The sequence below is a fragment of the Homo sapiens genome, chromosome 22, assembly GCF_000001405.40.
Source record: "Homo sapiens chromosome 22, GRCh38.p14 Primary Assembly".
Classification (NCBI taxonomy): domain Eukaryota; kingdom Metazoa; phylum Chordata; class Mammalia; order Primates; family Hominidae; genus Homo; species Homo sapiens.
The window spans coordinates 26,883,213-26,899,687 of NC_000022.11; the positions used below are offsets into that span (position 1 = coordinate 26,883,213).

Here is a 16,475-nt window from a genome sequence, read left to right on the forward strand (position 1 = left end):
ATACTTCCTCAAATGCAAAATGGCTCCATCCATTGTGGGTTTTGGCCCTAAAATATAGAGCTTTCCAGAGCAGTTCTATTTGTTGGACAGGAAATGGCTCTACACCCTTCTCAATAGATGGATACCAATCAGTTTCATTCCAGCCAAGCCAAGCCAACTAAACCCAACGAAATCTACTTAACCCAATTCAATCCACATCAATTCAACTGAAATAAACCGACATAACCCAACTTAGTACAACCTCACCACCGACACAATACAACCCCATTCAACTTGACCTTATTCAGCAAAAACCATTGAACCCAACAAATTCCAACAAATTACATTTCAACATGATGCAACAGACCACTTCTCAGCCACCTAAGTCAACCCAATACAAGCCAATCCAAGTCAGCACAACTCCCAGCACAAGATAGTCCCACAACCCAATGAAATTCAATCTAGCGCAATTTAATAAACTGTTTCAACAACTCTTTTGTCTAAGGAAGGTAAGGTACTTTGGACAGAAGACCAAAATAATGTCTCTTAAATGTCTATTTGTTTACCATTCGTGTTTAATGGAACTCTTGAAATTATAGCCTCTCCAAATCTCCTCAGTGTGTGAGGTAACTGAAACTCAGGAATTAAAGCCGCCTCCCCTCTCTGGCCCCTGAATCCTCACACTTTATTTTATGGAGTTACTGGTCTCATCTGAACTAGATTGTGAGTGCTTGGGGGCAGAAACGGTGTCAAATTCATCTCCCTTCAGTACCTTTAGATGGGCATCAAGAAAATATAGTTTAAACGTATAAATGACTAGAAGTTTGTGAAGCTTATTCAGTTTTGGAGGTCAGTAGCGTTTTATCCCCTTTGGGGACCTGGCTGAGGAGGATTGTCAGGAGGGCCCACAGACGGACCTAGGTTTGACTCCTGGCTTTGCCACCTACTATCTGTGTGCCCTTGGGCAAGTCATACCACCTTTCTGGGGCTCAGTTTCCTTGTTCATAAAGTGAGGGATGTATTACTGACTCTAGGGCTGTTCTGGGGATAAATATTGAGTTGACACATGTGAAGCACTTCCACCATATCTGACATATAATTGAGGATGCATAAATACCTACTATATTTTTTTCCCTGAGTTTCCTTGTTCAGCATTTTCTTTTAGTGACTTGGGGACAGCAGCCTCTGTGGACCAGAAAATTTCAAAACTCTCTCTGGATCCCTTGTAGGATAATACCCTCTCTTGTGATAATTTCATTGGCATAATTGTCAAATAACCACCATTTGTTTTGTATTTTACTATGGTTCTTTAGCTCAAATAAGCCTGCAAATGATTGATCTGGTGGAAGTATGAATTTATACATATAAATAATTAGGGTACAACACACTGTGAGAATCACAATCATTTGGACACCCACTGTTTCCCAGGATGCGTGGGTAGAGAGCTAAAAGCAATGTGATCCCTGTCCCCAAGGAATGTACAGTTTAGTGGAGAACCTGATGCAGAAATAAGACTGGAAGGGGCTAACTTTGACTGAAGGCTCCAGCTACGGCAGCCTCGTATGCTGAGCAGTGGGTTGCCACGTAGGAAGGTAGCTTATTCTGGGCCACCACTGGTGAGTTTTCAACCAGGCCTTTTCTCTCTCTGACACTCAGTTTCTTCAACTGCAAAGTGGGGATCGTGGGGCATAGAAGACATCCTCGTTGGTTGTTGTGAAGATTCAGTGAGAGAGTGACCAGTTCTTAAAGCAATTCTCTGTCTTGAGTCATGAAGAATACATTTGTTGGACTCCACTTTCCATTACGAGAAATACACATTCCATCATCTGAACTACTGGACAAGCGCTTGCGGCTCTCAGACACACAAATGGCCCCGTATGAACAATTTGGCCACCACCATCTCTCTCGGTGCCAGATTGCCTGTGGCAGGAGTTGTGGCTGACCCTAAGTCCTCAGACTGGGGCTCACGTCTAAGCCACATTTGCTGTACTGGGCATGCCAGGACAGCTGGTTCCAAAGTCAACTGCATTCCCTGCCGAGGAGCCAGGGCTGAAGTCTTCATCACAGCCTGGTTATGGCTTAGGCATTATAAATGATGCTGTGCTGACAGCCAGGTGGACAGCCTGCCTAACTGGATGATGCTTCATCTGTCCTGACAGGGACAGCCCTGCAAATAGAATCTGAGGGATGGCAGACCTATTGGAGTCATCGTGTCCTTCCACTGAGTCTGGTGGGACTCTCTTCCACTCATCTCAGACTGGAAGATGCCTGCCTTTTTTCTTTCTTATAAGTCTCCACAGAGAAAGGGAGCTCTCCCCAGGACACACTTTATTTTTCTTTTGGCAGTGGTTAGTGCAGGGTTAAAAAGTTCTGGAGTCAGATCTGTGTTCAAATCTGGATTGAGCCACTCACAAGCTGTGTGACCTTGGGCAAGTTACCAAACCTCTCTGAGCCTCAGTTCCCTTACTGTTAAAATAAAAAAGAAGAATGATGACCAGCTCCAAGAGTTGATGTGGGTTTCAGTTGGAAGAAGGATCACAGGAAATGCTCTGGGAATGGGAGGTGTGATTTTTTGGGGGGACACTGGGTCATCAAGGACAATTGCTCTGCCCCCTCCCTTGGCGTGCATGGGAATGGTGAGAGCTGCCCATCACTTGGGACAGGTATAGCTCTGTCTGGTTCCAGGGCTAGATAAGACCCCCTCTGAAGGGCCACTGGTGTCCTCTCCCGGGCCCTACTCAGGAGGCAGAGTAGCACAATGGGAGGACACAGGACTGAGGATCAGGGCTTGATTCCTGGCTGGGTGACCTTAGTACATCAACTGCTTTCTGTAGGCCATAGCTGATGGGGAAAGCCCTGGATAGAGCTTTAAAAAATAGCCATGTTTGTGTTTGTGGTTCTCAAACTACCCTTCAGGGAACAGAAGTGCTTCAGATGTGGCTGTGCTCACCCCCATGCCCAGCCTTCATTAAAAATAGATTTGTGGCTGAACACAGTGGCTCCTGTCTGTCATCTCAGCACTTTGGGAGGCTGAAGTAAAAGGGTTGCTTGAGGCCACAAGTTCTAGATCAGCTTGGGCAGTGTAGTGAGATCACATCTCTACAAAAATAGGTTAAAAATTAACCAGGGATGGTGGCGCATGTCTGTAGTCTCAGCTACTCAAAAGGCAAAAACAAGAAGATCATTTGGGCTCAGGAATTTGAGGCTGCAATGAGCTATGGTCGTACCACTGCACTCCAGCCTGGGTGACAGAGCGAGACCTCATCTCTAAAAAATTAGAAAGAAAAATAAAAAATAGATTTGTGTTCCAAGTAAGAAAAGCTTAACAAGCTGCTGTTGCCAGCAGACTCTAGGTTTACTTGGAGGAGGTGGGGATTGTATTCTACCTCCAGCACCATGGCCCTCAAAGGCACCCAATGGTAAGTGTCCTCCGTGGCTCCCTGTTGCTTTTTGAGAGTCAGGCCTTCACTGGGCACTCAAGGCTTTCCAACCTGACCTGCCCCCTCCAGCTCACTCCCACACTTTGGTGCTCCAGTTATTCAACTCCAGGCCATTCTATGACTGCTTTTGCTGTGGCCCAACATTTCCTTTTGCGCACTGCAATTCCCTCCACTTTGAAAGCTGTTCATCCGCTTCTCCATGGAGTCCCGTTCTTTTTTTTTTGACTGTCCTAAATTGTTTATTAGGTATGAATTTTACAAACTTTAATTATATTAGCGGTAACGGTGGAGCTGGAGAGTATTGCGCCTTCTCTAAGCTGCCCGGCGAGAACCACCAACAGTGTGGTGGAACTTATGGCCCTTTCCAAGCCCAGGGCTCTTTCAGCCTTCAGATGTCAGCCCACGCATCTCCCTGTGCTTGTGGAGTGGTTTGATGATCCATTGGGTGTCAGGATTTCTTCTGATAGCTTTATGGAATGGATCAATGAGGACAACCTCAGAAAATTTTTATGTGGAATCTTCACCAACCCTGTAAGAATTCAGGACGCTCAGAGCCCCATGGTGGCGTCCAGCTCGCTCCTCTGCAACGGACTGAAGGCTTCGAGCAAACTTTAGCTGGTTAACACCATGATGGACAGGCTTGCTGTAAGTTGCACCCTTAGGAACTGGGCGTTTTCAGCCACCACGGCGAACATGAATCCTATATATAACGGCGAACACGAATCCTATATATAACGTAACCTTGCTTGGCCTTGTTTGTAGCCCAGTCGGTGCACTTTATCAGGCCGGGTGGGGCGGGGAGCCCTGTGGAGAGCAGATAGCTGGCGGTACTGCCAGCAGCGGACCCTCAGAAGAAAGCGCATGACATCAGACTGCTTCTTTCTCCATAGCTCCAGGATGTACTTGTATGCACCCATCTTGGCTTATCTGATGGCTGCCGCCAGACCGGAGTCTAATTCTTTACTTATTCTTCTAGACCACATTGAAATGTCCTCTCACATCAGAAGGTTTCTATTTTGAGCCCTCCAGGGAGAGGTCAGCAATTATTCATGCATTCCAATGCCGCATTTGTGGAATGCTTTACTATGTGCCAGATGTGGGGGATAAAGAGTGAACAAAAAGAGACACAGTCTCTAACTTCATGGAGTTTATATCCTGTTCAAAACAGAGAGTTAATCAAATACAGACACAATTGAGTATGTATTTAGAAATCTAAATTAGTGCCCCTAATGAAACAAGTTGTAGCAGAATGCTTAACAAGGGATCTGACTAAATTGGTGTATTGGAAGAGGCTTCCCTAAAGAAGGGATGCTGAAGCTTCAGGTCCAATTAGACAGGTGAGTGCGGAGTAGGGAGGGCAGCATGTGCAAAGGTTCTGTGGCAGGAATGATGGTGTATGGTGACTGCCCATCTTGGTCTACCCCAGGTAGTCCCTATTGTCCTGGCTTATTGATTAATAGCATTCTCTTCCTTTCTCCAAAGTGGCCTGGTTTGGAAGGTAAATTATATGGTTGACTAACTGAATAAAAAGAAGCTGGCTGGCCACAGTGTCTCACGGCTGTAATCCCAGCACTTTGAGAGACGGAGGTGGGTGGATCACAAGGTCAGGAGTTTGAGACCAGACTGACCAACATGGTGAAACTCCGTGTCTACTAAAAATACAAAAAGTAGCTGGGTTTGGTGGTTCATGCCTGCAATCCCAGCTACTCAGGAGGCTGAGGCAGGAGAATCACTTGAACTTGGGAGGCAGAGGTTGCAGTGAGCCGAGATCATGCCATTGCACTCCAGCCTGGGTGACAAAGTGAGACTCCATGTCAAAAAAAAAAAAGCCTAGAGTGTCAGGACTGCCATGCTGGAGAGGCTGGCAGGGACTAGACCACATAGAAGGCTGGAGAAGGAGATCATTATCTTGCCTAAGAATAATGAGACACCATTCACCATTGAAGGGTTTCAGACAGGGTGTGCCAGGGTATTCTCTACTTTTCAAAACAACTTCCCCCTTCTCTATTCTCCCAAAGTGTTTTTGGTGCCTGCTCTCTTGAGGATCCACCTTGCATATTATGGGTTGTCGTTTCCATAGTTCTTCTCTCCCTAGACTGTGAGCTTTGTGAGGGACAGAAGGAACCTCTCCTGGACAATGCTTCGTGTCCTTCTCCTTCCTGCTTGCTGGGTGTTGGGTGGGAACAAATTTATGGAGGCTCTCCCATGGCTTCAAAGCTGGAGCTACATTGGGTAGTTTATGTGAATAATAAATTAACTTCTATTATGTCTGAGCCATTATAAATGACTAGGAAATATTCAAAGGGAAAATACTAGCTACTGTGCATTGAGCTCATGGCCTGTGTTAGGCCTTGCACACTTTATACACACTATTTCATTTAATCATGAAAATATTTACTTCATGGATAAGGAAACAAAGATTCACAGAGGTGACTTGCGCAAGGCGACACAGTGAATGAGCTGGGATTTAAACCAAGAATGTCTGACTTAAAAGCCAAAGCTGGGCCGATCATGCCTGTAATCCCAGCCCTTTAAGAGGCCGAGGCGGGCGGATCACGAAGTCAAGAGATCAAGACCATCCTGGCCAACATGGGGAAACCCCATCTCTACTAAAAATACAAAAATCAGCTAGGTGTGGTGGTACACGCCTGTAGTCCCAGCTACTCAGGAGGCTGAGGAAGGAGAATCACTTGAACCCGGGAGGCAGAGGTTGCAGTGAGCTGAGATCATGCCACTGCACTCCAGCCTGGCGACAGAGCGAGACACCATCTAAAAAAAAAAATATCCAAAGCTCTTAAAACAGCAACCATGAAATTAGCAGCCCTCAATTTCTCCATTTGTGGGAGCAGAGAGAATCTCCCCACCCTGTGGATCCAAAGATGAGGTTGGCCATTGTCCTGCTAGGTAGAGCTTCACCAGAGCAGATGCTGGGGTAAGGGAGGTGTGTGGGAGAGACGGGCATCCCACACCTGCAGTCATAGCCTCTGCTCCCATGTCTACATCAAGTACCCAGCTCAGACGGGGGGCGGTGGTATTTCTTTCACCAGCCTGCAGTTTGGCAGGTTCCTCAAAGAGAAATGCTCTTACGTTCATTTAAAAGTCTAAGTAGGGACAGCACAAATTATTAGTGTTTGAAATATTTATAAAGTCTCTTGTTTGCAATGGCATAGGAGGTGATAGACCACAAATAAAAGAAAACCGCAGATGCACCACGCATGTAGAGAGACGGAGAGGGGCAGGAATGTTGTCTGCCTGCCGCCACCTCATTTTTGAAGGCTGCTAAGCCAGGTGAATTTTCATTCTGTGTTTTCTGAAACTGACTTCCTTTCTACGGCTCTGTTCACCTCTCCCTCCTTAAAATGATCACCAGACACTTAAACGGAAGATTTCAACATCACAAACCATGAACATTAGGGCAAGCTGGGGGAAAGGCAGATGAAATCACTCTGTTTTTATTTTTGTTTTTTTGAGAAAAGGTTTCACTCCTGTCACCCAGACTGGAGTGCAATGGCATGGTCTCGGCTCACTGCAACCTCTGTCTCCTGGGCTCAAGCAATTCTCCTGCCTCAGCCTCCCAAGTAGCTGCAACTACAGTTGCATGCCACTGTGCCCGGCCAGTTTTTGTATTTTTGTAGAGACAGGGTTTCGCTATGTTGCCCAGGCTGGTCTTGAACTTGGCTCAAGTGATCTGCCGACCTCAGCCTCCCAAAGTGCTGGGATTACAGGCATGAGCCACTGCACCGGGCCAGAAACACTACTTTAAAATTTTTCTGGGAGTCTAAAATGATATCAAAATTAAAAAGTTTAAAAAACACACATACACACAACATAAACTTACACAGCGTTTAAGTTGGGGAAAAAAAGCATGGAGAAAAATAAATGTGCTTTTCTGATTTAATAGATGTAAAAACCAAAGTCACGCAGTGAGTCAAGGATGAAAAGTGAGGTCGTCCGTCCGACTTCCAGCCCAGACCTCCCTTTTTGCTGATCTTTGGCCACTTAAATGCACATGCTAATAATTTAGAAAATAGGTGCTTAGGTCCTGCTTTGGGAATTACCATGGCTTAAATGTATTCATTGATGTGCATATGTACATACATCTGTTTATACATGCATATGCATTCATTCACTCATATCAGTGAATGAATGAATGAATGAACTCATTTGCACTCATTTACTAACTCAGCAAGTACTGTGCTATGTGCAGGAGATGCAGCAGTGAGCAAGAGAGATTTGGCCCTGCCTTTCCTGAGCTAGTAAAAGACGTGGATTCAGGTAACGTCTTGCGCTTCCAGTTGATCCCACGAGGAGCTCTGGAGTGTGACTTGTACCCTAGAGTTGTCCTGCCTTGGAGTAAAGAGGCTGGCCTTTTGTACCCTTGTATTAGTCAATTATTGGCTACATGACACCAGTGTATCCAACTGGTGCAGAGGGGATGGTGCACCCTCTCCAGGATTTTCAGGTAAGGCAACTCCTGTCAGTGGAGGGCAGTGTTAGCTGTGGGGTGCTGCTGTGTTAGCAGCAAACATTCACCACGGCAGGGGGCTGGACTTACCAATGTACATTACCAGTTTAATATACATTTAATGTACAACACCAGTTTAATGCACATTTAATGTACCATCAAGGAGGTTGGATGCATTGACTTTTCAAAGGGGATCTGAGTGGGGCACCAATGGCATCTACTACGTGAGAGACAGAGCTTTATCCTACTGGGAAAGTGGGGGAGGCAATCTAGAATTCACACTTCTATGTGATCTCAATTTGAGGGATGAGGGAGCTGGGCTATTTACCCACCAACTCCTGGCAGCCCTTACTGAAGGTGACTCCTGGGGAGGTTAATTCTCAGTGTGGCCTGTGTGTAGCCACAGAGAGCTCCAGCAGCCGACAGTCATGTGCTGGAAGGTGGAGATTGGGCAGATGTGCTTGGAAATGGGGAGCATTATGGAAATGTGGGTGTGTGGGATGCCAAGATCATCTGCTCCAGGTGGCCTGGACCAATCAGACTTATCCCCCAGAAATGTGGAATGAGGAAGCTGGTGGAAGCTTGGAGTCTCAGGTCAGCTGAGGACCAGAGCAAGGAAATGACAGCTGTGGCTGGAGTGGTCATCATGGCCTTTTGCGTGGTGAAAATGTATGGGCATGAAGGTAAGGCGTCATCAGCATTAATGGCCAGGACAGATGGGGAGTAGGGAGCTGTGTGCATGGAGATGCTGGGGAGTCACTTGGGCAAGGGGGTAGTTGGCTGGGGACCCCACCTGGCTTCTGATTATTATTTTATTTGTTCATTCATTCTACAGATATTTATTGAGACTACTGAGATCATGATGTGCCAAGCATTGTGCTCAATGCGGGGAATATGAAGGAGGAATAAAACAGACAGGGTCCTTGCTCCCTTGGGGTTTATGTTTTATGTGTGTGTGGGGGTGGGGGTGGGGGCAGGTAGGAGGGGGGATAAGTAAATAAATGAACAAGATAATCAGAGAGTCAGGTACATTCAGTAAAGGAAACCCAACAGGGTGCAAGGTGGAGAGTATCTGATGATGAGGGTACTTTCAACAGGCGATCATAGGCAAATTCTGACCATCTCCACTTTACAGATGAGGAAACCGAGGCTTTGAGAGGGTAAGGAACTTGCCCAAGTGCATTCAGCTAGGAAGCGGCCCTTACTGTAGATCTCTTCTGTCTCTCTGTAATACCTTCTACTCCTTGGCTCTGGGTTAGTTAATTCCTTGAGCCAACAGAGATTAGAGCCACTCTTTTTGCTTTCCCTATCAGTGATTTTATGATTTGGAGAGCAGGACACTGATCCTCCTGAGTCCCTGCCCAGACCCTTCTGGGCACGCACTGGCCTGGGATGAGCTGTGACTCACAGCTTTGGGGCCATCCTCACATTGCAACTGTCAGGGTCCAGGAGAGTAGAGTGGCTCTGGGGACAGGGAGGCTCGTCCCGGCCCACCACTCGTTCACTGTGGGACCTTGGGCGAATGACCTCACTTCTCCAAGTCCCAGTTTCCTCCTCTGTCACATGCCAGCACCAGTTGTCTCTACCTCCTGGCACTATTGTGAAGATTAAACGAGCTAACACTTGTGTAGGAGTTGGCGCCGTGCCCAGCACAGTAAACACTCACATCAAGCTCAGTTTGGGCAGCTGCTGCCCCCAAATACTCTGATCACCTGTCGGAGGGTCCGAAGGGGCAGGGGAAGGCAGGCACTCTCATCCATGATCTTTAAGACCCTCAGCCCCTGAATGACCCTGAACCGGAGCCGGGGGTGGAGAAGAGGCAATTTTCCGACTTTGGGTCAGGACTGCCAAAGCCAATTAGGGAAGTCAGACGGGCGGCAGCCTCCAGCACCCAAGCAAACCGATGTGGCAGCCAGCGGAGGGGCCAGCTCACTCTGACCTTAAACCCAAACGCTCCTGCCCACATCTGCAGCTAAATAAACCAAGTAAATCATGCTGGCAGATAGATAATTAAATAATTATCAGGCACTTAATAACAAGGAGTGGGTGTTCTGAATTACCATATTAGACAGTGTCTTTGAGGACTAATTGTTGCATTACATCAGAGTTACTCATTCATTATTCTTGTCATTTCGGGTGATAATTTGCACTTTAGGAGACAGCGACAATTTTAGCAGGCAATTAGAGACGTGTCAGGCCTGGCCCCGTGAGTTACTGTCACAATTATTGCCTTTTTTTCCAGGGTCCTCATTTGCAGTCGTGTATTTAAGGGGATTTGGGTAATTCCAGGCCTGGGCAAAACAACCAACCCACGGGATAGCGGCAGGGTGAGGACACAGCAGCCGCCACCATTGGAGCAAGGAAGGGGCGGCTTTCCCAGAAGTGGTGGTGCGGAGCTCGGGCCAGCAGGCAGAGCTGAGCAGGGCTGTCGGAGCCACATCCAGTCACTGAAAACGAGAGTTCTACCTCCCAAGTAGTTCGTGATGCTGTCTGTTCCTCTCTTGGCTTCTTGCCACCCACTCAACCTAGGCTTTTGTTACTGCTTACCTGAACCTTTGCGATGAGTTCTTCCCAGGCCCTGGGGAGGCAGAAAGGAGGAGAGAATGAGAAGGGAGAACAGAGAAGAGGAGAGGGGAAGGAGTAAAAGAGAGGAAGGAAAAAAGATGTAGAAATCGTGTTTTTAACTTTCTGTCTTTGATGATGCTTGGGAATTGTGGAGGTCTTGAGGATCCAAGGAGGGAGTGCCCCTCCCAGGGTTAGGTAATTCCTAGAGGTAGCAAACCACTTCTCTTCTGAGCAAGCCTTTGATATGCAAACCAACCAATCCTGAGTCTTTTTTTCAACCTCCTGCCTTCCAGGACGCTATCCCCCTGTTCCAAATCACCCCAGGACCAGGAACCAGACAACTAGGGACTGCCCCTATAGCCCAGAGTCAGCCGAAATTATTCAAAATGGCCAATGCTAAGTCTGCCTACCCTGGCTCACCTGTTCTTTCCAGTAAAACCCATGATATTGTTATCATTAGTATTATTACTGTTTTTGAGACAAGGTCTCACTCTGTCTCCCAGGCTGGAGTACAGTGGCACAATCTTGGCTCACTGAAACCTGTGCCTCCCAGGCTCAAAAGATCCTCCCACTTCAGCCTCCCAAATAGCTGGGAGGACAGCGTGCACCACCGTGCCAGGCTAATTTTTTGTACTTCTTGTAGAGGCTGGGTTTCACCATGTTGCCCAGGCTAGTCTCGAACTCCTGGGCTCAAGAGATCTGCCTGCCTCGGCCTCCCAAAGTGCTGGGATTATAGGTGTGAGCCACCATGCCCAGCCTATTATTATTATTATTATTTTATTTTGGCTACCATTAACTGAGAAAACAAAATCCATGATAAAGGCCCTGGCCTATGCTTTCCCTGGCTGCTTCTGCCCTGTGTAACGTGTTACGCCCCCTCCTCTTGGGAACTGTGAGTAATAAACTATCTTTTCAATAGCAGTCGTCTTCCTGCTGTGTGGGTCTCACCTAAATAAAAACAAAATCCTGTGTGCAAAATAGAAAAGAGTATAGGAAACAAGAGAAGAGAATAGAAGAAGGAAGAGAAAAATGAAAGAAAAGAAAGAAGAGAGGGAGATGGAGAGAGAAATAAGAGAGAAAAGGGAACGGGAGAAAAAAGTTTGAAAGAAGGAGAGAGAAGACTGGAGAAAATGAAGAGGGAGAGAGATGAGAAAAGGGAAAAATCAATGTGGAAAGGAAGGAAAGGGAGAGGGAGAAGAAAGAGATGGGGGAGAAGTGGAGGAAGAAGGGGAAGACTGGAGGGAAGTTTGCATGTGAAAGTTATATATGAAACCAACATTTTTTTTTCCATTGCTTGGAGTGTTTACTTTTCAGTGAAATCCAGTGTCTGGGTTCATTTACCCACAGCTGACTCACTTGACCCTGGGCAACTTCAGAACAGACACCACGAATCAATGACTCAGAATAGGCTCTCAGAAAATATTTTTAACTGGCTCCACAGTGTGAATCAAGAAAAATAAAGCACGATTAAATACAAACGTGAAACTCCACAGAAAGAGAAGAGTTTCAGCTTCAAAGCAATGACTTCTTAGCTCTGTTCTTAGCAATTAGACAGGAAGAGACTGCAGTGGCTGAACTGGGCCTCCTTTTTCCTTGGCTTAGACTTGGAAGGAATTATCGGTTCAGAATGCATGCTGCCAGGAGAGAGGGCAGCTGCTGGAGGAATGTGTGGCCCAGTAACAGTCAGAGGTAGTAAAACTCCGTGCCTCAGAATGTAGGCCTGGAGTCTCAGCTCCACTACTTATTAGCTGTGTGACCTTGGGCAAGTCACATTTCTGAAATCATAATTTTCTCATCTCAAGGTTGATGTGCTAGTGGGCTTTGCTGAGCTTTATAACAAAATCAAGTCTATAAAGAATTATGGGCCAGGCACTGTGGCTCACACCTGTAATACTACACTTTGGGAAGCCAAGGTGGGGGGATCGCTTGAGGCCAGGAGTTTGAAACCAGCCTGGGCAGCATAGTGAGACTCCCATCTCTACAAAAACTAGAAAAACTAGCTGGGTGTGGTGACGAGCACCTGTAGTGCCAGACACTTGGGAGGCTGAGGGGGAAGATCTCTTGAGCCCAGGAGTTGGAGGCTGCAGTGAGCTCTGACTGAACCATTGCACTCCAACCTGGGTGGCAGAGTGAGACCTTTACTCTCCACTAAAAAAATGCATAGGACCTGATGCAAAGAAAGTGTTTCTGGGTAAGTGGGAGCTACTGTTTTATTATTATTATTTTAAATTTGATTTAGTGTATGGTTATCTGTCCCTGTGTGGCTTTGATCTGAACCCACCATCTCCCTGGTCCTATCGGGTTAGAAGGTGATTCTGGTGTTTGGGCTGGTTCCCTCTGGCACTGGAACTGGCCCTTCCTAAGATGGTTCCTCTGAGGGTTAGGATTTTCCCTTGACCTCACTCCTTGGGGCATGCTACCCCAAACGTCGCAAGTCCACTCCCTGGCTGGGAAGCAGAAGGAAGGGCCATCTACAACATGCACTCAGCATCCACTGCATGCCAAGCCTCATGCCAACCACATAACATTCATCACTTTATTAAGCCTCACAGTAGCCTCTGAAGTAGGGGCAAGTAATCCATTCCCATTTTACACATGAGACAGGCAAAGAGAGGTAGAATAGGTTCTTTAGGGTGATACAGCCACTCAGTGGCAGAGTCAAGATTTGAGCCTGACTCAGGATCTTTTTGCAGTCTTCCCTGTCTCCTAAGATGCAATATCATTACCTGATGTGGTCACCCCACAGGTGAAAAACTCTAACAGTGCTTTGAACCCATTTCTGCAGCAAGAGTTGGCTTCATACGCAAAATGGGTTTTTCCCAAATGTGTAAAAAATTATATTTGAAGAAAACCACAAACGATTATGTAAAAAGTAAAAGTGACTGTGGACATTGCATTTTAAGGATAAGTATAACATATATAAATCTATGTGTGTATATATATACACACACACACACATACATCCTACACGCACGCACGCACACATATATGCATAAGCTAAATGGAGTTAATTAAGTTAAAACCACAGTAAATCTGACAGATTCATATTAACACGATGGTCAAAACTGTAGGAAATATAGTATTTTGAAAAAGAATAAATCCAGCCAATTACAGATTTATGTTGACGCCAGCACAGTTACCACCGTTTTACAATAATCATTGATCAATCAACGTTTTATGACAAAACTATAATTTTCACGTGTTTCACCCTCACCTAAAAGTTTCCTCGTTTGCTTAATTCCCGGAATGTGATTCCATAAATCTTTCTCTTTGCGATATTAAGTAGATAATAAGAATGCCATGTAAGATTTGCTTATGGTTTAAACCACAGTTGCAAATGATTTATAATTAGGGCCAAATCTAAGACAAAACATTATTAAAGTCAAAACCTGCTGTAAATTGGTGCGGTTGGCTTGGGCATTTAGGAATTTATCGGGGTTTGATGCCAGTATTTCCTCTGGTGATTTCCAAGGGGTCTGCTGACACCAAGGGGAGATATTTATGATTAAGGGAAAGCTGCAGAACTACCGGGGTGTCCCTGGTGGCATCAGCCAAGGGGACTGCCAGGCCTGACTCCGTGTGTCATCATCAAAGGCAAAACCCTCAGTGTGGGTCTCTCTAGGCATGTCAGCCAACACTGAGGTGCTCAGAGTCCACCCTGCTCTTCCCACGGGCCGATCTCCTTGGAGTTTTCAGCTGAAGAAGTTTCTTGGAACAAATCAGACCATGAGAGTGTCACTTGTGCAACATGTGTTTATTGAGCACCTACTATGTGCAAGGTCTTGGGGATACAGTGGTTAACTAATGAAGCAAATATCTCTGCTCTCATAGTGTTGTGGAGAAGAGACTTAATCCTCTACACATAGGAGGTAAGGCAGAGGCCAATGTAGGTGGGAGGCCCTGGAGAGATGCGGGTAATGGGGGAGAGGGAAGCAGGTAGGAAGTGGGAGAGAAGCTAGACTGTTGGAGAGTGGGAAGGGAGGCTGGTGGGAGGTGAGGGGGAAGTTACAGGGATACAGGGGAGGCTGGTAAGGGGTGGGAGGGAGGATGTAGAGTCCATTTAAAATAAAGTTGTCAAGGAAGGCCCCCTGGAGGAGGAGGTGGTTCCTTTGTTTTAGGGGTGGAGGAGTGAGCCAGGGTCTGTCTAGGGAAAGAGCATTGGTAGATCTCTTTCTGAGGAGGAGAGATCAGTAAATGCAGAGGCTGTGAGAAGACAGCATCCCAGCACACATAAGTAACAGGGAAGAGCCCAGTGTGACTGCAGAAGAGTGAGCGATGGGGAGATCGGGGAGTGGAGTCAGGGCTCAGGCCATGCGCTGCCAAGACCTTGGATTTCTGGTGATGGGGAGGCCATAGGGGAGGGTTGAACCAGGTGGTGACCTACTCAGATAGACATTTCAAAAATAATTGTTTTGGATACTGTTTGCACAAATGACTGTAGGGCCAGGAGCAAGATGGGAGGCATTCCTGCTATCCAGGTGGGAAAGGAAGGTGGCCAAGACCAAGAGGTAGAGAGGGGAGAGATGAGTGCACTTGAAGTCATTTTTGGAATAGAGCTGCCAGGACTTGTTGATGAATTGGACATTGGATGTGACAAGGAGGGAGGAATAAAGGTTGGGTTGTTTGAGTGAAGGTTGAGTTGTTTCAGGCCTGAGCACCTATTTGCATGATGGTGCCTGTTCCTGAAATGAGGACTGGAGGTGATACCAGGTTAGAGAAAGAGTGGCATGGGATCTAGATTTTGGCGAGGGGTTGTGAAGCTTGAGATGCCGTTAGTTTCCAAATGGAGAGGTCAAGGGAGCAGATGAATATGTGAGTCTGACCTCTTTTGGGAGAGAGATCAGGCTGGAGTGAGAAAATATGAAGGCATCAGCCTAAGGATGGGTTTAAGCCATGAGGTCACCAAGAACCGAGGACAGATAAGTACAAGGGAACATCTGCAGCTGAGTCCCGAAGCCTGCAAGATTTAGGCATTGGGGGAAAGGAGAAGCACCCGATAGTGGACATCCAGAAGGAGATTTCACTGACATTGGAGGAAACCAAGAGCATGTGGTGTCCTTGGAGAGAACATCAACCCACAAAGGTGAAGCCATCAGTGGTATCAAATACGGCTGAGAGGTCAAGTAAGATGACAATGGACTCTGACTACTGGCTTTGGAAACATGATGGTCTTCGGCCACGTGGACATCAAAAGTTCTGAATTCTTGGACTGCACTTTGACATTTTTTCATCAACCTCCCTGTAAGACATTTCAAGAATCAATGGTGTCAAAATTGCTTAATTTCTTGGAGACCTGTTTTTGAAGAGCATCCTCTACTGCATGACAGCTGCCTTGGTATGATCACCTAGGAGGTATTGCTTCCAGGGGAATACCAAGGAAATCTGCTTCTTTTGAATAACTGACTATATTTTCCATCTTTAAACACGTAGATTCCTATTCCCTTCTTTGCTTTGGCCACTAGTTGCTTAGCAACTGCATCCGGACAGCGTGTTTTGTGTGCCAAACTCATTCTTGGTTCCATCCTATTTTTTATTCTCATTTTCCCTTTGCCCTGGTTACCTTCTCTATTTTATTTTAATCCTCTTGTAATGTGCACTTTTCTCTCTAACGTGTGTATTTCTGGTGTGTAATCACTGTAAATTTCTCTGGAACCATATGGGGGTAAATAGTGTGACAAATGCCAAATGTTATGACTGTTACGTAGATATCCCTGAGCCTTGATTAAGAACCCGCATGCATCCCGATGGGGAGAAAAGAGACCTGGGCATGGAGCCAGGAGGTATTTACTCTAGTTCTGGCTCTGTCCCTAAATAGCTGGGTGACCCTGGCAAATCTAGTCCCCTCTCTGAATCTCAGCTACTTCCATTATCACACACAGGGGTTATAGTAGCTTGGGATTAGCAAACAAGAGGCGCCCATGCACTGACCATCACCTGGTTCCATAGCAGACATCACTCATCAATTAGGCACTCTTTGGCATTGGGCTTAAACAAGACATCAGAATCCTTCTTAACACCGTACCTCA

At 46.4% G+C, this 16,475-nt stretch overlaps 1 pseudogene; it reads right to left on the reverse strand.

Moving 5' to 3' along the window:
• Positions 3,642 to 4,365, reverse strand: RPL15P22 (ribosomal protein L15 pseudogene 22; annotated as a pseudogene).